The sequence below is a fragment of the Homo sapiens genome, chromosome 3 (genome assembly GCF_000001405.40).
Source record: "Homo sapiens chromosome 3, GRCh38.p14 Primary Assembly".
Lineage (NCBI taxonomy): Eukaryota > Metazoa > Chordata > Mammalia > Primates > Hominidae > Homo > Homo sapiens.
In genome coordinates this window covers 104,690,647-104,713,885 of record NC_000003.12, presented here as the reverse complement: position 1 = coordinate 104,713,885, position 23,239 = coordinate 104,690,647, and the positions used below count along the sequence as shown (strand labels likewise).

The 23,239-nt window shown below is 34.8% G+C and overlaps 1 long non-coding RNA gene across 1 annotated transcript in view, besides 1 other annotated feature; it reads left to right on the top strand.

The window, feature by feature from the left end:
- Positions 1-23,239, top strand: part of LOC107986108 (uncharacterized) — a 279,502-nt gene that overhangs the window by 196,097 nt on the left and 60,166 nt on the right. The gene's annotated exons all lie outside the window — the stretch shown is intronic.
- Positions 16,705-17,205: an enhancer, noted in NCBI's record as "H3K4me1 hESC enhancer chr3:104415525-104416025 (GRCh37/hg19 assembly coordinates)". NCBI's record gives its function as "activates a minimal SCP1, AML or CMV promoter by ChIP-STARR-seq in primed H9 embryonic stem cells {active_cell/tissue: H9 hESC(primed)}" and the evidence as "EXISTENCE:reporter gene assay evidence [ECO:0000049][PMID:30033119]".

The following is a 23,239-nucleotide window of genomic DNA, read 5'->3' as shown; positions in this document are numbered from 1 at the left end:
ATCTGGATAAGAAAAATTACCTTATTCAGTCTCTGGTAAATTATTCCAAGAAAAGAAGCCCATATCTTCTGTTGGCTTATAGTTCTTGGTGTCATTATCACAGCTTTCCCCTTAATTTTAATTGTTAATTTGTATTTATTAAAAAATAAATTTATGATAATAAGGAGTACAAAGCAGGCAATCTTTGTAGCTAGCAATTTAGCTTTTACATTAATTTAAATTTATTAGGAAGGAAATATATGAAAATTAAGTTATAGAAACAAGCAGGAAATAAAAATCATACATGATTGCCCACCAAGAGAATACTACTCTTAACATTTCAGCACTTGTCTTACAGTAGCCTTTCTACATTTCTAATAACACATGTACACATATACACACCACACACAGAGAAAATAATGTTCTCAGGACACAAGCTGAAGAAGGCAAAATCTCTAGCTTTTATTGTTTTGCTGCCTCAGGTATTCACATTTTATTGGGCTTTCATTCTCCCTTGAGAGTGTAAAAATGTTAGATTTTGGTCTCTGTCATTCTGGGACCTTAGAAAATATAACAGACTGTTTTTGAACTATTCTTTAGGCACTCCATGACACTACATCCATCAATCCTAGATCATCACATGGTTGTTGAGGAGATTTTGGGGGGAAGTTTGTTCTAGATCTTAATTATTTCATGGACTCCCCTAAAAAAGAAAGATACACATCTCATTTGTGCTCAGATACTCAAACTCGTGTACCAGTTTCATAATCCCTTCTTCAACAGATGAAGTCTGCAGAAATGTGGGTCTGGGGAATGGGTACAGGGTATAGGGTACAGGACCTCTCAGTACATTCCCTTCTGCTTCCCAAACCAAGATGTTTTGGAAAATCTGATTTATGTGATAGCATACACTACCTCTTCATGTACACCATATGGCTTATCTTGGAACTTTGTAAGGCTTAAACGCTTAAATTAAAAAAAAAATCAGGTTCTTGCCACACAAAAACTTTTCCTCATAGCAATAGCTAGGAATTCCAAGCTTACCTAGAATTTAAATGTCATGAATTAGCTTCTTTTGCAGTAGTATGTGATAATTTATTATCCTTTCTCTGCAACATGTTAGCATGAACTCCCAGTTTTGTTGCTGATAAAGGATGTGAAATAGAATTAGATAACCAATAACTGAACTTTAAAAAATACTTCAAAATGTTATTCCTATACTTCATCTCTATATATTCCAAATATTTTAATTTATAAATGATCATCTGCAAATGGCCTTTTGTAACATGTTTTTATGAGTTACCTATGTATCATAAACATCTCTCTGAAAGACTTGAGAATGGCTACCTATCAATTATGTAAATGTAGATAATATATGTGTATAAATCATATTGGTCATTTGAAATTAGGCTTATACATCCATTGTGTTCCATTTAGGTTTTCATTACCACCTATAGCTTTAAACTCTTTTGATCTCTTTTATTTGGGTAAGTTTTTATAAAAAAAACTTTGAGTATAGTTTGTGTAATAATTATCACATTTTAATACTATGAGGCCAGCACTTTAAAAAAACTTTCTAAAACATTCTGAAATTATGTGAATGTGTATATAAGTAAACTTTTTGACTGGAACAACATATATTGTTTACTAAAATGGAGGAAATAAAGATAAATCATTAAAATAGTATCCCTCAATCAGATGGCTCACAATAACACTCAAATATGTTCTTGTTGATTTATACAATATTAAATTTTGCTACATTGCTGGGTTTTTGAAAAATGCATAATTTGTGACAGTTTTTAAACATAATTACATACAGTAAGCTCTCAAATTTTAAAGCATAATGAGAATATACTTATATGTGGTAATATGTAGTTTGTAGGCAACAGATTAATCTGTACATTTAAAACTTTGGATGTGAAATATTAAGTACAATTTTAGTTGTTTTCTTTATTAAAACCTGAGGATATGTATCTTTAGTGATTCTAGTTGAACTAAATCTAAGCAGTTATTTCAATGGTAGTAATCTGATCCATCTCTTGACAGATTATGTATTCTTCAGGGAAGTAGAAACTCTCCATAAAAGCTTTCACTGGTCTTTCTTGTGACCTTTTTTAAAGTTCCATCTTAATTTTCCGAAGGAATAAAAGTGAGAAATCTTCATACGTTTCTATACTTTACAAGGCTCTAGACATACTTTTCAAAAGGTGGAAACTTTTCATATCTGGGCACGAGTTGCCTTACTGCATTCAGTAAACATACTTGAAGGGTGGTTCCGTTTACTGGAAACAAGGCAATTTTCTATGAGCTTTTGAGATCTCTTCTATTAGAACGTGTTTAAGAGTCAGATGGGCTTTCTTGTGTGAAAAGCATTTTCTTAATGGGTACTTGCTCACAATGCTGTGCTAAAGCTCTTGTTGCCTTAGAGACAGTCGGTCAATGGATAAGTAAATGGGTAGTCTTGAATATCAAGCCAATGAATAATCCATTTTAGTAATCTTTGCCTCTGCCAGAGGCAGTGCCTTAATAAGTCAACACATTTTTATATACTTTATTTAAAAAAGAACTTTATGTTTACTAAGTGCTTTGATATACATGGATAAAAGACAAATAATTCAATAGTAGTATAATTCTCTCTCTTGGTAATAGTTCAGAGCTATATACAATAAATTTGGTAAACTTCAGGGAAAATAAACTGATTTCAGAAGTTTTTTAGGCTTACTTTTAAAAATCACAAGTAAATGTCATTGCCTTTACCATGCAGAACACAAATTCCCTTCAAACTGACGTTTGGTTGAAAAATGTCAGTTGATTTCCGTGTTGTTACAATTTAAATAATAATTTATAAACTAAGTTAGATAGAATACCCAAAACAACTCATGAACCCCATATCCACTTATCCATGTATATATATTTCATGCCATCATATAATGGAATACCCTTGTGTAGATATATAACACTTGCTAATGTTTATGAAGGATAAGATATCATAGAATATACCCTATAAAATATAAATTTAAAGACAGTATTACAATAAAAATCACTGGAAATCACTTCAAATATGCTTACAGATGCTCCTCAACTTATAACGAAGTTTTAATAACCCATCATAAAATATAATTAAGTGCATTTAATACACCTAACTTACCAAATATCATAGCTTAGCCTAGCCTACCTTAAATGTGATTCATAACATTTTCATTAGCCTACAATTGGGAAAAAAATCATCTAATACAAAGCTGATTTTGTAATAAAGTATTGAATATCTCATATAACTTATTAAATGCTGAGCTGAAGGTGAAAAACAGAATGGTTGTATGAGTACTCAAAGTACAGTTTCTATCGAATGTATACCACCTTCACACACCATCATAAAGCTGAAAATTCTTAGGTCAAACTATCTTAAATTGGGGGCCACCTGCAGTCAATTTGCCTGACATTATAAGTTCTATATTTTTCATAACCAGAAAATAATGACAAAACTGTTTTATTCTTAATTCATTTTATTTGATTAGGTATTTTTGAATTAAATGTAAACTTTGGGTTCTTGTTAGAAATTCAGATTGTAATCAATAATGTGTCGCTCCTTTTTGGTTCATCTAGCACTTACTAAAGACAGAAAAGTATACCATTATCTTTCTGGAAGAAACATTGTTAAAGAATAAAATGTAGGAAATTGGAATGAGTTTGGGCTGAAGGATATTTTTGGATAACATCTGAATTCTTCAGTTTCAGCTCTTAACTCTTGGGTGTTCAAACTCAGCTTCACCTACTAATAAACACAGAAGGACCATCTGTCAAAGTCATCTTTCTTATTGTGTGAAGAGAGTACTATACATTCTCCCCATGATTCTTTTTGAAATCAATTTAAGAAAAATAATTTTTGATGGAAATATAATCTGGAATTAATCAGTAAAAATCGAAAAAGATTAAAAAAAGGAGATGTTTTGGAAGTATATATTTTTAGAGGTAAGAGAAAATTGATTGTAAGTTAAATAAAATAGATAATTTATTTGATGACGTTCCTGGCTCAGAGATTCTATAATTCTGATTTAAGAATAACAAGAAATAAATTCTAAATAACTAATAGCATCATTTACCAAGTTTCTTGATATATGTGTGCGTGAGTATATGTGTGAATTCTAATTTGATAGCTAGGATTTTGTCCTGAACATTTGCTGATGTGAAAACCTTCATTATTTTCTAGCATTACTAGATACTCAAATAACTCTAAAAAGAAAACCTAGAACCAATATTTACTTTGTTCACAAGTGTTTGTGGGTGTGCATCCTGCCAGAGTGGCCTCCACTCCCTCCTTGACTGCACATTCAACTTTGGTCTCTTTCATGTTTCTTGGACTAAAAAGTCAAATCTCTTATAGGATAGTTTCACATTTCTCAAGGGTCCTGCAAATTAAAGGTGAGGTTTGACAGAGATTTAGGCCAATACTCTTTCATTCCTTCATGATTTTTTTCTAGTGAGTAGAGAATGAGGATTTATTAAGTCTAATTTGCCAAGATCCAATGTTTCTGATTATAGATGCCTAAGTAGGCTCCTAGACTTCTTGGAAGAATATAAAATGGATAAAATAGCTTTCCAAGTAGAGCTCATAACACTACATAAATCGTTTGATAGAAGAAAAATTAGGACTGATTATTATAGAGTAAGAATGCCGTTAAATAAGAAATACTTAGTTTGCTATATTTTATTTACTGTTATATGTTCCTTGTCATCCTTACCTTATTTAAGTGAAATACTTTTCCCTGAGAAAGAAAAAGTTTATTATATAACTGAAAATCTCCTTACTTGCTACATTTGGGATTTTAGAAACACTTAGAATTGTTAAAGATTTGAAATAACAGAGATGAAAATATCCTACACAGAATGAGAAAAACTCTGCATCATTTTCTGTATACTTTTTTAGTATAAGCTTATCTAAAACAGGATTCCTCACTAACTGCCTGTTACATTTTAAGTTTGTCTCTATTTTATTCTGCATTATAAAGCCTCTCTGCTTTCACTCTTCTAAACAAAATAGCACCAACTCTCATCTAAACAAGTATTTATTCTTGCGCTTTAGAAGATGCAATACAGGTAATTGAAGCCAATAAAAGAAGAAATATAGTTTAATGATGTAGACCAAGGAACAGGGTATACCTAGGATCATCGTACTTACTTTCTTACCAGATGGTAGTCCATTTATTTGCAATTTTATATTTTTAGCTATTAATCTAGAAAACGGAAATGACATATGCATCTCTTACTTTCACGTGTGAGTGTATACATGCCCATGTTAGAAGAGTTCGAGAGTGTGTGTGCGTGCATATGTGGAGGCTGTTGCTGGATAATCTGTGTGAAGTGTTCTGTTTATTTTTCTGCTTGCAGGTAATTTCTCAATTCTGCACATAATTATTAAGTAAGTTACTCCTATTTGGAGGGATTCGTTCAATTTATATAATATTCTGCTGAACCTATATTATTGTATTATAAAAAGAGCTTCACATATTAAAATGAAACTATGATTTTCAATACACACGAACAAAATCTGACAAGAACATTGGTATGTATAGTGATTCCTCTTTTAGATTTAATAATTTCCAGTCAATTTCTGATTCCTCTCTAGAAAGAACACAACTTACATTGAATTATCCCAGATGTCCCTCTACTTTCCAACCCTATTCCATTCCAACTAGCTGCATTCTACCCTCTAAACAGATTTGCAGTCATCAGTGTGTTTTCAGTGTGTTTTTGGTCTGCAGAAATAAATTTCACATTTTCTAGCCATCAACTGGGAGCTATAAACCAAATTGTGTGATCTAGAATAGACATTAATTATTGTCTTAAATCTCCCTCTTTGGGAGGAATATATGGAGAATATTTAGCATTTAGCTAAAGAGTAGAAACATATCTTGGGAAATGCTCTCTTCTAGAGTCAAAGCATGTGTGTTTTGTTTGGCAATCTTTATATAATTTTCCGTAGCAGATCAGTTTTTATCCTTTAAAGCTCTTTAGAATAACATATGGATGCACATTATAATAGTGTAAAGTATTAGAGGGTTCTATTGTCTGTAGTTAAAAGAAATCTAACTCTGTATCCAGTGACTTATTATTACAGATCATTTTAACTTCTCATTAGAATTGGCCAAAAAGTGACAGATGCTAGACCATTAACAGGCTAAAACAAAGACAAACAGAATGGATTTTGGATATCTTGCCTTTTTTTCTGACAGTTTCTTATGTATGAAGACACTGTACTTTTAGCTATGTAATTATAATTTCCTTTCCCCCCTCATAATATAGCTCAGCCATTTACATTATATTTTTGGGAAGTGGTTAAAAATCAGGTTCTTGGATCATTCTGAGTTCAAGTCAATTTTTTAGATTTACAATTTATTCTTCATAGGCCTCAATTTCTTCCATTTTAAAATGGAGAAAGCAATGGTAAATTATGAATTAAGCCAGATATTACATTTTAATTATTTAGCATAGTTTGGCAAATAGTAAGTATTCAATAAATACTGTATTGTGAATTGGTGCTGATAATGATAATTTTGATGATGATGAGAATTACCTTAAAATACAGAAGCAAAGCCAGTGAAAGTAAAGAATTATAGCATTAAGAATCACAGGCTTGTTTTTGATACAGGTAGTGGACTTAAATAATGATTAGTCATTATCTATGCAAAGAAGGGAAAAAAAAACTGTTCTATTCTCCTCTTCCCATTTACCCAGATTGATTGCATTTAAAAGGAGGAAATGTGAGCAGTATTCCATTATTTCTCACCTCACTGGTCAAAATTGGATTTTAAAGTGGGATATCGTATTTATGTCTATACACCCTCTCCCATTGGTCCCAGGTTCACCTTGTAGGCCTAAACAAATGATTGTCATTTTTACTTCAAGGGAAAAAATACCCATAGTAATGAGTTTTGAGATCTTTTAAGGAATTTTCTCTGATCCTTCCATCAGGTCAATGATGTTTACAATTAAATCATGAAGCATTATTCTTGCTGAAAAAGAGGTGAGTAAATGTGGTAGAAGCAGTTTTCTTGTTGATCATCCAAAGGTAATTTAATTAGCTGATCATTACCTCTTGGAATCCAAAGCTAGTTAATTGGGCTGTGGGCAGAGTAAAGTGACTTCCTTGACATGCAGGCTTAGTTAGAGAATTACTTTACTCTCTCTGATCATCATAGGGACCTTGTAAGGCCTGGCAATCCTGAGATTCCATGGAGATGGGAACAATTGCTCTGATTTATTTTTACACTTCTGTTTTCAGTTTTATGCCTCATGTTTAGTCTTTTGTGTGCTAAGTTTTTAGATGTTTATTTGACTAAAATATTACAATAAATCTAAGAGATTTGTTGCCATTTGTGAAATAGAATGGATTCATTCTGACTTGTTTTAAGGCAAAGTGAGAATCCCATTATGATAGTTGGCTTTATGGTCTTTAGAGAAAAATATTTCCAATCTCCTAACCAATATTGCATTAAATTAACCTTTGTTCTCTTTCCAATGTCTCTAATCAATAAAGACAAAACTGTATTGTTGTTCTTATCCTGATTAGTTACAGCGATGTCAATATGTATGTATTTCTGTGTTTCCATGTTATTACGTGGCTCTTTAAGCCAAATAAAAAAGAAAAGGAAAAAGAAAAAAAAAGAACAAGAAAAATATTAACAACAAAATCTTAGTAAGACAACTTAATCTCTCAGTGGGAGGAAATATATAGGACTGGATGAGTATCCAGTTACGGATTAATGATCAAATAGTTATCTTCTAGGGGCAGCAATAGACAACTTTATCATAACTGACACAATGATTAAATAAGATATCTATTTCTGAATACGTTAAAATAAAAAATAAAAAAGCAACATATTGGAGGCACCTCTAAAAATAATTATCAGTTTCTAAATCAGACCAGATTGATATAACTGAAACCTCCACCATAAATATTTTCTTAATATGTGAATATATGTTTTTGTTACAGTCTTTGTAAGTATAAGGTCTATTATAATGTCTTATGATTATTGATGATGATAATAGAAAGACAGAATGAAATACTAATCCACTGCCTTATAAAATTAGCATTAACTGAAAATATACTATAGGCAGAAACATTGGAAAATGACAGAAATTTCAAGAAGACAAAGATATGGTACAGCTATTTAGAGACTCATCCCTTCATGGCATAAAATGTAAGCAACAAATTAGAGTACAACATGGACATTTACTAGTATATATGAGAACAAAGTAATATGGAAACCTAAAAGGGAAGCAACTCATTATTGATAGTGCTTGATACCATTTCTTATTCTGGTGCTTTGGCTTGACAGTATCTCCAACTCTGACCATCATGTGTATCAGTCAACATAAATAATTTACTAGAAATCTGGTGTTCATTTTTGTATAATAGAGATTACATTTTGTCTAAACAAAGAACATAGATTATTGTGTTTCAAATCTCAGCAATTTTATTTGCATTGGCATTTAATTTGGTAGAAAGTTAAAGGGATATTTTTACAGTATCTTCTTATCAACTTTGAAAATATGAATAGATTCATATATTTTTGAAAATGCAAATTGCTTCATAGGAGAATCTGTTTAGAACACATTATGTTAGGCACTCTGTCTTTATATATGTGCATATTTATCAATATCTCTGTGGCCAGTTAATGGAGTGGTTCAGAACACCATGCTAATAAGGTCAAAGTCATGGATGTGGCCTTCCCTCACTTTGTTACTTGGCTACAAATAGATTTTTCATTGCAGCTAGCCTTCTTGCAAATATCTGCATTTGATCACAAAAAGTACTTTAAATAAATCAATGCAAATTTAGCAGCCTATCCACACCTGGCATTGGATAAGTCACGCAGATAAACTTGTTTGCAAACAAAATGGGATGAAAAGAATGTCCTACAAATGCTGAGTATATATATATTTTTAAATCAGTTTGCAAGCTGTTTGAAGAGATGGTGGTACATCTTACTCTCCACGTCCCCTGCACCCACTAATGTAAGGTGATACATACATTTTTATACACATCTACTGTATAGAAGAGCAGCTATAATATAATGGCCATTGTATGTTTTATATTTATTTTTTGCTGTTGAAAGAATGGCTATAATAGATTACAAATATTTGCATAGCAAATAAACTGAAATATATAGTGATCATTTTAAGACCAACATTATTTGAGTACACATATATAAGCTTATTTAAGTAATTTCAAATATCAAAGTAGTCAATTTGAAGAAATATAGTTGATTGAAAATTTAAATCATATAGGGGCTCAAAAAGAGAAAGTGACAATTGATTTCTCTTGAAGTGTGGTTTGAACTAAATACTTTTTAGTTAAGTGAACGTGTATGTTGTTTTATACTGTCAGCGTGATGTGTGTGTGTGTACATATGGCAGTATACAAATCTTGACTCACATATATATATTTTATATATAAAATATATAAGGATATATATGTAAATTTTATATATAAATGTTTTGTGTATATATATATATATATATATATATATATATTTGAGACAGGGTCTCACTCTGTTGCCCAGGCTGGAGTGCAGTGGCATCATCACAGCTCACTTCAGCATCAGTCTCCTGGGCTAAGTGATTCTCCTACCTCAGCCTCCCAGGTAGCTGTGACTATAGGTATGTACCACCATACACCCAGGTAATTTTGTGTGTATGTATATATATTTTTATATATGTGTGTTTTTTTTTCTTTGTAGAGATGAGGTTTTGCCATGTTGCCCAGGCTACAATCCTATATTCTTATTGTAGCACATTGTATAATAGAAAAGCAAACCTTAATGGTTTAATTCACATTTGGGTTTTCTCTTTCTCTCACACTTTTTTTGGTATGTTCCTTTGTTAGAGTCTTTTGCTTCATATCTCTGCCTTCTCATCTTTAAACTGGAGATAATAATGTAAACATATATGAAAAAAATGGAATATTAGTGTTCTAGCTCTATTCTAAGACATTTTATGCTTCATAAATTATCATGTTTCCTAATTTCAAACTGCCACTTTATACCGCTTCTTCACATCTCTAAAAATTTTTCAGATATTTTGTCTCTAAAACTAACAAAAATATTCTTTGACAATGTGTCCCCTAGTGATATAACTCTATTATTATTCTTCTACCTAATGCTTTTACTTCTTGAAAGAGTAATTTAATTCTTTCTTACGTTTTTAATTCATATTTACACAGATTGACTGTTGGTGGCTTTAGCAAGTGCCTTTTAAAGGACTAGTAGGAGCCACTCGCTAAGGTCACCAGCAATCTTATATTTGGCACAATTAGTAAAATAATTTTACTTCTTATCAGAGTCAAACCTGGTTGAAAGCATTTCGCTTTTAGAAACCTCTTTGGTGTCTATGAAACTATGCTATTTTCAATCTCTTCTCTATGAATATCCATTCCCATCTTCTTTTGATACCAGGACATTCCTCAGAGCTCCTCAGAATTATTTTGCTTCATTCTGCACCCTGTTTCTAGGTAATCTTCCCATTCCTATGGCTTCTAACACTCAAAATAGACTTGTGGCTACCCATTTGAGATCCATCCTAGATTTTACTCTTTCACCAAGAACATGTTCAAAAGCTACTCATTGGACACCTCTACTTGGATTACCAACAGGCAACAGAAATCCAGCAACAGAAATACCTGAAGCCTGCTCTTTCTTTTGAGGAAACTCTTCTACATTGAGAACATAGTTTTTCCAGTCATCACAGGACCTACTTACTCTTTTTATAAATTCATAATTTAATTAATTACTAAGTTTTCTGGTTTTATCGCCAAGATACCGATTGTAATTTGTGCCTTTCTATTTCTATCACTAACTTCTTTAAATACACATTGATTTTTCACTTTAGAGACTATCCAATCTCCTTGTGTATAACATTGCCCATCCCTACCAAACCTACTTCCACAGTGCAACTCAGAGATGTTCCCCAAACCAAACAGCTCTGTGTCACAACTCATCTTGGTAAGGAGTCTCTCTGTACAATTCCCAAGCAAAACCCACTTTCAAATAGAGAAGTCTTTTTTTCTTACACTCTGCCCTAGAGAAATTAAAGACTGTAGGCCTTAGAAATAAAGGGGCCGATCAACAAGCAACTTGTAAAGTGGCTGATAGCTTACATTATAGCTATCAACAGTGTTTGAAATTTCAATGTGATCATTGTCTTCTATTTAAGTACGTAACTGCTTTTAAGAATATGGCCTCTGGAGGCAGACTATCTTATTGTGAATCTTTGAATCTTGATTTAGTCCTTTTATGACTTTGAAGAAGATAATTTAACACCTGTGTCTCAGTTTCGTCATTTGTAAAAAAAAAAAAAGTGTAAAAAACTATACCTATTTTGTTTTGGCCATATCAATAATTACATTAAATATATATAAAACTCATCACTCTTTTAGTGTCTTGAACATTGCATGTGCTCAAAAATGACAACTAGTATTTTTCAAGGGTGCTCTTTAAAGGATAGGTGCAGTTTTTTGTTGTTGTTGTTTGTTCTGTTTCTCCTAAAAAAATATTTTTCCCTGAATGTCTGCATATACTTGATGCATTTGGGGAAAATAATCCCTAAACATCTGGTCACTTTTGATTTCATTGAGTTGCCTTTTCAATACCTTGCCTGACCACTCCAAAATAAACGTCAGAAATACACTCAACTAACCCTATATAGCGAAGGGCTCATTGACAGTAAACCTTGACTAGTCCGAGTCAACTAGAATAGGCTTTTTGGCCTACCACTCCTACTACCATTGCAAGCCAGTGCTACTGTGATTAAATTGTCAGAAACCTTAAGTATTTTACCTTTTCCAACCATGTGTGAATGAACCAGCTTATTGAATACTTAATTGCAAGCAAAATTCTCCACCTCCTTTTTTGCTATCAGAATGCACTATAATTTTTCTGAACTAGATTTCAAGAAGAATAAGAAATTATCTCTTGTAGTTTTTATTAACATCTGTGCATCAAGTAAAGGGCCATGCATATACAGAATAAGGAATCGCCATTACTCTCCCTGGGCTGGAAAGTGGTAGTGTCATATCAAATTGATATACTTACTTAAATTTTTATTGGTTTCTGCTATCTTAGATCGAAGTCCACATACCTTACAATGGAATGTCATTTGTGATGCAGCATGCCTATAATTTTCAGAATCATTTTCTATCCTGTCATACTTACCATATGTTCTAAATATAACAAGCCTTTACAAATCCTATAATGTATCGTGCTTTTTCTTAAAGCACGTCTTGTCTGTTTCTATTGCCTGCACCTTTTTTCCTATCCCATCCCTCTACCTTATTTACTAAAAACCTACTTATCCTTCAAAACACAGCTTGAAATTTACCTCCTCTGAAAAACAAAGAGTCTGCTTTTCTAGATAGAGAACCATGCAGAGAGGGGCCTCTTACGCAAAACCGAGTGCTTCCTTTCTACTGTTTTAACCTTGTATGCACTTCTTTTACAATACAATTCATGACTTACCTACATATCTAGCTCCTTTTCTTGACTACGAGCCACCTTAGGCCAAAGATTTGCTTAGTTTACTATTTAATCCTGTGAACTCCAAATATCTGAGACAGATCTCAGTTAATTTAGAAAGTTTATTTTGCCAAGGTTGAGGATGTGTGCCTGTGACACAGCCTCAGGGGGTCCTGATGACATGTGCCCAAGGTGGTCAGGGTACAGCTTGGTTTTATACATTTTAGGGAGACATGAGACACTAATCAATATACATAAGATGTACATTGGTCCTGTGAAGAAAGGATAGACAATTTGATGCAGGGAGGGGGCTTCCAGGTCACAGGTAGTTGGGAGATAAATGGTTGTATTCTTGTGAGTTTCTGATCAGCCTTTCCAAAAGAGGCAATCAGATATGCATCTATCTCAGTGAGCAGATGGATGACTTTGAATAGAATGGGAGGCAAGTTTGCCCTAAGCGGTTCCCAGCATGACTTTTTCCTTTAGCTTAGTGATTTTGAGGCCCCCAAATTTATTTTCCTTTCACAATCCTCAATGTTATACATGGAGTCAGAAAAGTAGGGACTAAAGATATGATGCTCCATGGTTATAAAACCTATTATTTTTATTTTCTATAGTGGAGAGAGAAAAATAATTATTGAGAAATTCAGAAGACTACCAATAATAAAAGTTGGGTACAGTTATATTGTGTGATAGAGTTATTAATGGGAGAATATTGGTAAATAATTCTCCAGTTTGTGTATGTCTTTTGTCAAATCTGTCATTTCTGCATGTCTATCGAAATACTGACTGCTTTTGTTTTGACCTATATTTTCAAGTATGTTTGTATAGTGAAGACACTTGGAAGATAGAGGTAGTATTTCCTTGTAGAAGAAAGGGCAGATTTGTTTACTGTCCAGTATAATAAAGATAACATATCCTTTTGGAGCAAACATCAGGCAGGTTTACTGTCTACTATAAAAGATTTGGGTTCTCTAATCATAGGCTTCCCAATTCTATAACAGAACTCATTGTGTGTTTAGGCGTTACCTGGCCCACTTTTCCCTTCATACATTATTAAATTATAGGACCCATATTTTTAAAATTCCTATAAATTAAAATGTGCTCTTTTTATATTAGTGAAAATGATACTGTAAGCAAGTTTCTGAAGTTTGCAAAATCTACAATCAGTTTTTGTATCTCTTGTGCTCCCTGCCAGTGCCCATATAGTGATGACCACTGTCCAGGTTTATCACTTGAATGCCTGTTTATTATTTCTTTATTTGAATGGCTATTCAGGAGAAAAAGTACAATGGTTAGTTATGAATATTAGCTTGCTATTTCTTAAACTCCTATTTATTTTGCATGCAACCTAAATCATTGATTTATATTTCCTGTTGCAAACCACTTTCCATAATTCCAGACATAAAGTAAATAAGAGCAAACAACAAAAGATAGAAAAAGATGGGTTAACAACCTTCAAGTCTATCTTCTGTAGCAGACATTCTTGTTGTTACTTTTGGGTATTAATAACATTTCTTTTTCATAATCTTATAAAGTTCCAGGAAGCTGAATTAATTATTCCCATTTTACAAATAAGAAAAGTCAGTTATGAAATTGAATTAATATGCCCAAAATAAAAGAGCTTATGTAAGTAAGTAAGTAGCAGAAGCCAGGATTACTGGACTCCAAAATCCAACAAAATATAATTTCAAGAAATCTACCTTTACCTGACACTTAGCTCTTTACCACAAATTCAATTCCTGCTTTTTCTCATCAGTTTCTCCCTGTTTTAATACAAATTTAGCCCTTGGGACCAACTTTCTCTACTGGAGCAAATTTTTTCCTGTCTCTTATTCCTAGATTTTCTCTTGCTTCAATCCTGTGGTCTCAATACATGTTTCAAATATTGAGTTATTTAAAATATAATATATCCATAGGTCATATAATTAGTATGAAACCTATGGAGGTGTTATATTTGTTCAACATAACATTTTCAAAATTGGACATTTTTTATAAAATTTCAGGTTAGCAACTTTTCTTAAAGACCATGTCTAACAATACTGGACCCATGTTTCTGCATGATAATAGTCAGCTTAAGCTGAATAATGGCAGTAGCCTTTAAACAGTGTACTTTGAAGTTTTTAATTGCCTCTTCTGTCTCATGTCTGTTTCTTCATTTGTATCATAGGACAGGACTCACCAGCATTTGAATTTGTGATGTCTGATTTATATAACATTGATTTACCGTGTAGATGACAAGGAACTATTGTCCTGTGCCAAGAAATTTTTAAGGCTCATAGAGTCATTTCATTTCAGAGCTCTCTGACGCTAATAAGACAAAACTCTCACTTTATAGTGTACTAACTGGTAGGAAGAGTTCATTATTGTTGTTAGAGGTACTATTATTTAGCATTCTGGTTTTAGTGACACTTTGGAGAAATTTTCTGGGATTTTTAAAGTATTTGTCAATCACTTATCTCAGTGAATGAATTTGATTCTCTGGGATTTACCAAATTTAAAATTGGTAAAAGTGTAATAGTGATCAGCTACTTGTCTTTTAAGTAGTTTTTTATATCTGACCATAGACTCCACCAAAAATGGAACTTTAGTGTTTAGATGACAAATCACTTTAGCTGAAACCAAGAACTTCCCCAGTGAAGTTTATGGCAGCATCATTGATTTGTTTATCCGTATCTAGCAGCACATTAAAAATATGCACAGGAACTTTAGTTGGGTTGCTACTAAACAAGAAATAAGGAATTTTAAATGTATTTAAACATAATCAATGTGATTAAAGTAAGTCTATACAGATTTTGTTTTGAATTTTTTCTTATATATGAATAATTAAAAATAATTTTTTTATTATTGCATTAAAATAATTTATTCCTACTTGAGTTTTCCCTTATTTTAAAAAAAGAAAGACCACAGAAGTCTTTAACTGTAATAAAGTATTTAGGTTCTAAATCCTTAATTCTAATTTTTAACAAAAAAATTCTATAAACAAATATCCTTCAATGTATATCACAAATTAGATGTCTACTTAGAAAATGTTCTATATGCATTACTAATTTTTTTTCCTGCAATGAAACAAGTGGAATGTTTTCATGATTACAGGTATATCTTACTTCGCAAATATTGAACAAGTTTAACATTGAATTTATAGAATTAAAGGACCTCCAAATTCATTTTAGTCAATATCACTGTACCACAGAACATTTAGGTATTATGTGGTATGATCTGGTTCCCATGTTGGTTATAGCATATGTTGAGAGCAACAATTTTGGAATCAAAGCGATCTGGATTTAGTATTCTGGCTATACCACAAACTGTGAGTTTGATCCTTTCCTAGTTACTTACCTTGATTCTGTTCTCTCCTCTCATTCCATTTAAAAAGTAAATAATTACTTTTGTTTTGGAGGATTTTAGCCAAAATAAATTGAGATCATGTATAGAAAATAATGAGTTTATTGTCTAAAACATGCTAAATGCTCAGTAACTGTTTATTAGTTTTTCACTTAAATCCATTAAAATACAGTAATTCCCCCTTATCCACAGTTTTAATTTCCAATGTTTTATTTACCCATGGTCAACCATGGTTCAAAAATATTAAATGGTAAATTCCAGAAATAAGCAATTCCTAAGTTTTAAATTGCGTGCTGTTCTAAGTAACATGATAAAATCTCACACTATCCTGCTTCATCCTACCTGGGGCATTAATTAAATTAAACCTTGGGAGAGACAGGGCAGTTGAATGCTGGTGAGAATAGTATTAGCCCAAGACACAGCCAAGACTGGTCCTGCAGTCCCACAATAGTATGTCCTTTTTGTTAATGTTGATACTATTCCTTTCTGTTTGTTAGTTTTCCTTGTGAGAGTCAGGTCCCTCAGCTGCGAGTCTGTTGGAGTTTTGCTGGAGGTCCACTCCAGCAAACGCTTTTTGCCTGAGTATCACATTTCCTTAGGAATGTCACTGCCTGCTTCTCCACCACTGCAGAGATTGGCCTGAGAACATGTTACTAAGGGCTGGTTAGGGACTGACAAGCAAATGACAATAAGATAGGTTGACCCACTTGTCCTTAAGCATTTTAGTTCCCTAACTAACACCTTTAGAACATTAAGTGCTCTGACTAGAGCAGTGTCTAGGTCTGACATACAGAGAGTCACAGGATGACAGGATTACCCAGTGACGGGAAAGTGAATGGAAGAGAAAGAATTAAGCCAGTCTCAGGGAGATGTGAGCTGTCTGCCTTGGGGCATGCACCTCACCCCTCTTAAAAATAAGACAAAAAGAGAGGTTCCATTCCAAGATGGCCTAATAGGAACAGCTCTTGTCTGCAACTCCCAGCATGATTAACGCAGAAGACTGGTGATTTCTGCATTTCCAACTGAGGTATCTGGTTCATCTCATTAGGACTGGTTGGAAAGTGGATGCAGTCCATGGAAAGGGGATGCTTTGCCAAAGCAAGGCAGGGCATCGCCTCACCTGGGAAGCGCCAGGGGTCAAGGGATTTCCTTTCCTAGCCAAAGGAAGTCGTGACAGACTGTACTGGGAAAATCAGGACACTGCCACCTAAACACTGCACTTTTCCAATGGTCTTAGCAAACGACACACCAGGAGATGATATCCCGCACCTGGCTCACTGGGTCCCATGCCCAAGGAAACTTGCTCACTGCTAGCCCGAGATCAAACTGCGAGGCGGCAAGCCTGGCTGGGGGAGGGGCATCCGCCATTGTTGAGGCTTGAGTAGGTAAACAAAGCGGTTGGGAAACCCGAACTGGGTGGAGCCCACCACAGCTCAACAAGGCTTGCCCACCTCTTTAGACCCCACCTCCAGGGGCAGGGCACAGCTGAACAAAAGGCAGCAGAAACTTCTGCAGACTTAAACTTCCCTGTCTAACAGCACTGAAGAGAGCAGTGGTTCTCCCAGCATGGTGTTTGAGCACTGAGAACGGACAGACTGCCTCCTCAAGTGGGTCCCTGAACCCTGTGTAGCCTAACTGGGAGACACCTCCTAGTAGAAGCCGACTGACACCTCATACAGCCAGATGCCCCTCTGAGACAAAGTTCCAGAGGAAGGATCAGGCAGCAATATTTGCTGTTCTGCAATATTTGCTGTTCTGCAGCCTCTGCTTGTGATACTCAGGCAAAAAGCGTTTGCTGGAGTGGACCTCCGGCAAAACTCCAACAGACTCGCAGCTGAGGGACCTGACTCTCACAAGGAAAACTAACAAACAGAAAGGAATAGTATCAACATTAACAAAAAGGACATCCACACCAAAACCCCATCTGTAGGTCAACATCACCGAAGACCAAAACAAAAATGGGAAGAAACCAGAGCAGAAAAGCTGAACATTCTAAAAAGCAGAGTGCTCTTTCTCCTCCAAAGCATCACAGCTTCTCACCAGCAATGAAACAAAGCAGGATGGAGAAGGACTTTGACAAGTTGACAGAAGTAGGCTTCAGAAAGTCAGTAATAACAAACTTCTCTGAGCTAAAGGAGGATATTCGAACCCATTGTAAGGAAGCTAAAAAAGGATTAGCTGAATGGCTACCTAGAATAAACAGTGTAGAGAAGACCTTAAATGACCTGATGGAGCTGAAAACCATGGCAGGAGAACTACGTGATGCATGCACAAGCTTCAGTAGCCTATTCGATCAAGTGGAAGAAAGGGTATCGATTGAAGATCAAATGAATGAAATGAAGTGAGAAGAGAAGTTTAGAGAAAAAAGAGTAAAAAGAAACAAACAAAGCCTCCAAGAAATATGGAACTATGTGAAAAGACCAAATCTAAATTTGATTGGTGTACTTGAAAGTGACAGGGAGACTGGAACCAAGCTGGTGAACACTCTTTAGGATATTATTCAGGAGAAATTCCCCAAGGCAGGCCAACACTGAAATTCAGGAAATACAGAGAAGACCACAAAGATACTCCTCGAGAAGAGCAACTCCAAGACACATAATTGTCAGATTCACCAAGGTTGAAATGAAGGAAAAAATGCTAAGGGCAGCCAGAGAGAAAGGTCAGGTTACCCAGAAAGGGAAGGCCATCAGAATAACAGCAAACCTCTCTGCAGAAACCCTACGAGCCAGAATAGAGTGGGGGCCAATATTCAGCATTCTTAAAGAAAAGAACTTTCAACCCAGAATTTCAAATCCAGCCAAACTAAGCTTCATGAGTGAAGGAGAAATAAAATCCTTTACAAACAAGCAAATGCTGAGAGATTTTGTCACCATCAGGCCTGCCTTACAAGAGCTCCTGAAGGAAACACTAAACATGGAAAGGAACACATAGTACCAGCCACTTCAAAAACTTGCCAAATTGTAAGGACCATCGATGCTAGGAAGAAACAACATCAACTAACGGGCAAAATAACCAGCTAACATCATAAGGACAGGATCAAATTCACTCATAACAATATTAACCTTAAAAGTAAATGGGCTAAATGCCCCAATTAAAAGACACAGACTGGCAAATTGGATAAAGAGTCAAGACCCGTCAACGTTTTGTATTCAGGAGACCCATCTCATGTGCAGAGACACACATAGGCTCAAAATAAAGGGATGGAAGATCTACCACGCAAATGGAAAGCAAAAAAAAAAAAAAAAAAAAAAAAGCAGAGGTTGCAATCCTAATCTCTGATAAAACAGACTTTAAACCAACGAAGATCAAAAGAGACAAAGAAGGACATTACATAATGGTAAAGGGATCAATTCAACAAGAAGAGTGAACTATCCTAAATATATATGCACCCAATACAGGAGCACCCAGATTCATAAAGCAAGTTCTTAGAGACCTACAAAGAGACTTAGACTCCCACACAATAATAATGGGAAACTTTAAAACCCCACTGTCAATATTAGACAGATCAACGAGACAGAAGGTTAACAAAGATATCCAGGACTTGAACTCAGCTCTGCACCAAGCAGACCTAGTAGACATCTATAGAACTGTCCACCTCAAATCAACAGAATATACATTCTTCTCAGCACCACATCACACTTATTCCAAAATTGACCACATAGTTGGAAGTAAAGCTCTCCTCAGCAAATGTAAAAGAACAGAAATCACAACAAACTGTCTCTCAGACCAAAGCGCAATCAAATAAGAGCTCAGGATTAAGAAACTCACTCAAAACCGCTCAACTACATGGAAACTGAACAACCTGCTCCTGAATGACTACTGGGTACATAACAAAATGAAGGCAGAAATAAATATGTTCTTTGAAACCAATGAGAATAAGGACACAACATACCAGAATCTCTGAGACACCTTCAAAGCAGTGGGTAGAGGGAAATTTATAGCACTAAATGACCACAAGAGAAAGCAAGAAAGATCTAAAATTGACACTCTAACATCACAATTAAAAGAACTAGAGAAGCAAGAGCAAACAAATTCAAAAGCTAGCAGAAGGCAAGAAATAACTAAGATCAGAGCAGAACTGAAGGAAATAGAGACACAAAAAACCCTTCAAAAAATCAATGAATCTAGGAGCTTGTTTTTTGAAAAGATCAACAAAATTGATAGACCACTAGCAAGACTGAAAAAGAAAAAAAGAGAGAAGACTCAAATAGACGCAATAAAAAACGATAAAGGGGATATCACCACCGATTCCACAGAAATACAAACTACCATCACAGAATACTATAAACACCTCTATGCAAATAAACTTGAAAATCTAGAAGAAATGGATAAATTCCTGGATACATACACCCTTCCAAGACTAAACCAGGGAGAAGTTGAATCTCTGAATAGACAACAGGCTCTGAAATTGAGGCAATAATTAATAGCCTACCAACCAAAAAAAGTCCAGGACCAGATGTATTCACAGCCAAATTCTACCAGAGGTACAAACAGGAGCTGGTACCATTCCTTCTGAAACTATTCCAATCAATAGAAAAAGAGGGAATCCTCCCTAACTCATTTTATGAGGCCAGCATCATCCTGATACCAAAGCCTGGCAGAGACACAACAACAACAACAACAACAAAAAAAAAAAAAAAAAAAAAGAGAATTTTAGACCAATATCCCTGATGAACATCAATGCAAAAATCCTCAATAAAATACTGGCAAACCGAATCCAGCAGCACATCAAAAAATTTATCTATCAAGATCGAGTTGGCTTCATCCCTGGGATGCAAGGCTGGTTCAACATAGGCAAATCAATAAACGTAATCCATCACATAAACAGAACCAAAGACTAAAACCACATGATTCTCTCAAAAGATGGAGAAAAGGCCTTAGATAAAATTCAACAGCCCTTCATGCTAAAAACTCTCAATAAACTAGGTATTGATGGAACATATCTCAAAATAATGAGAGCTATTTATGACAAACCCACAACCAGTATCATACTGAATGGGCAAGAACTGGAAGCATTCCCTTTGAAAGTTGGCAAAGACAGGGATGCCCTCTCTCACCACTCCTATTCAACATAGTGTTGGAAATTCTGGCCAAGGCAATCAGGCAAGAGAAAGAAATAAAGAGCATTCAATTAGGAAAAGAGAAAGTCAAATTGTCCCTGTTTGCAGATGACATGATTGTATATTTAGAAAACCCCATCGTCTCAGCCCAAAATCTCCTTAAGCTGACAGACAACTTTAGCAAAGTCTCAGGATACAAAATCAATGTGCAAAAATCACAAGCATTCTTATACACCAATAACAGACAAACAGAGAGCCAAGTCATGAGTGAACTCCCATTCACAATTGCTTCAAAGAGAATAAAATACCTGGGAATCCAGCTTACAAGGGATGTGAAGGACCTCTTCAAGGAGACCTACAAACCACTACTCAACAAGATAAAAGAGGACACAAACAAATGGAAGAACATTCCATGCTCATGGATAGCAAGAATGAATACCGTGAAAATGACCATACTGCCCAAGGTAATTTATACATTCAATGCCATCCCCATCAAGCTACCATTGGCTTTCTTCACGGAACTGGAAAAAACTACATTAAAGTTCATATGGAACCAAAAAAGAGCCCACATTGCCGAGACAATCCTAAGCCAAAAGAACAAAGCTGGAGGCATCATGCTACCTGACTTCAAACTACACTACAAGGCTACAGTAACCAAAACAGCATGATACTGGTACCAAAACAGAGATATAGATCAATGGAACAGAACAGAGGCCTCAGAAATAACACCACACATCTACAACCATCTGATCTTTGACAGACCTGACAAAAACAAGAAATGGGGAAAGGATTCCCTATTTAATAAATGGTGCTGGGAAAACTGGCTAGCTGTATGTAGAAAGTTGAAACTGGATCCGTTCCTTACACCTTATACAAAAAGTAATTCAAGGTGGATTAAAGACTTAAATGTTAGACCTAAAATTATAAAAACCCTAGAAGAAAATCTAGGCAATACCATTCAGGACATAGGCATGGGCAAAGACTTCCTGACTAAAACACCAAAACAATGGCAATAAAAGCCAAAATTGAAAAATGGGATCTAATTAAACTAAAGAGCTTCTGCACAGCAAAAGAGACTACCATCAGAGTGAACAGGCAACCTGCAGAATTGGAGAAAATTTTTGCGATGTACCCATCTGACAAAGGGCTAATATCTACAAATAACTTAAACAAATTTACAAGAAAAAATCAAACAACTCCATCAAAAAGTGGACAAAGGATGTTAACAGACACTTTTCAAAAGAAGACTGTGCTGCCAACAGACACAAGAGAAAATGCTCATCATCCCTGGTCATCAGAGAAATGCAAATCAAAACCGCAATGAGGTACCATCTCACACCAGTTAGAAAGGCAATCATTAAAAAGTCAGGAAACTACAAGTGCTGGAGAGGATGTGGAGAAATAGGAATGCTTTTACACTGTTGGTGGGAGTGTAAACTAGTTCAACCATTGTGGAAGACAGTGTGGCAATTCCTCAAGGATCTATAACTAGAAATACCATTTGATCCAGTGATCCCATTACTGGGTATATACCCAAAGGATTATAAGTCATGCTACTATAAAGACACATGCACACGTATGTTTACTGTGGCACTATTCACAATAGCAACAACTTGAAACCAACCCAAATGGCCATCAGTGATAGACTGGATTAAGAAAATGTGGCACATATACACTATGGAATACCATACAGGCATAAAAAAGGTTGAGTTATGTCCTTTGTAGTGACATGGATGAAGCTGGAAACCATCATTCTCAGCAAACTATCTCAAGGACAGAAAACCAAACACTGCATGTTCTTACTCATAGGTGGGAGTTGAACAATGAGAACACTTGGACACAGGGCCAGGGCGAGGAACATCACACACCAGGGCTTGTCATGTGGTGGGGGGATGGGAGAGGGATAGCATTAGGAGAAATACCTAATGTAAATGACAAGTTAGTGGGTGCAGCAAACCAACACAGCACATGTATACGTATGTAACAAACCTGCATGTTGTGCACATGTACACTAGAACTTAAAGTATAATAATAATAAAACAAAATGACAAAAAGAAAGTAAGCTGAGAGGCACAAACAACCAGATATCTAAGGAACTTAGAGAGAGAGAGTGAGAGAGAAAAATCCAAACAAACTGTAGTAGAAGATACTGATCAAGAATTTTAAAAATATGATAATTATCCTCAAAGAGATGAAAGTGCTTCAATTACCAGAAATATGACCAACAGGGTATACTGAAAATTAATTTAACCACAAAATACACCAAAAGGCTAAATAACATTTTAAAAAAACCTCTCTTCTTCCCTCCCAACCATGAATCAGTTTGCAACAAAATTAAAAACAATT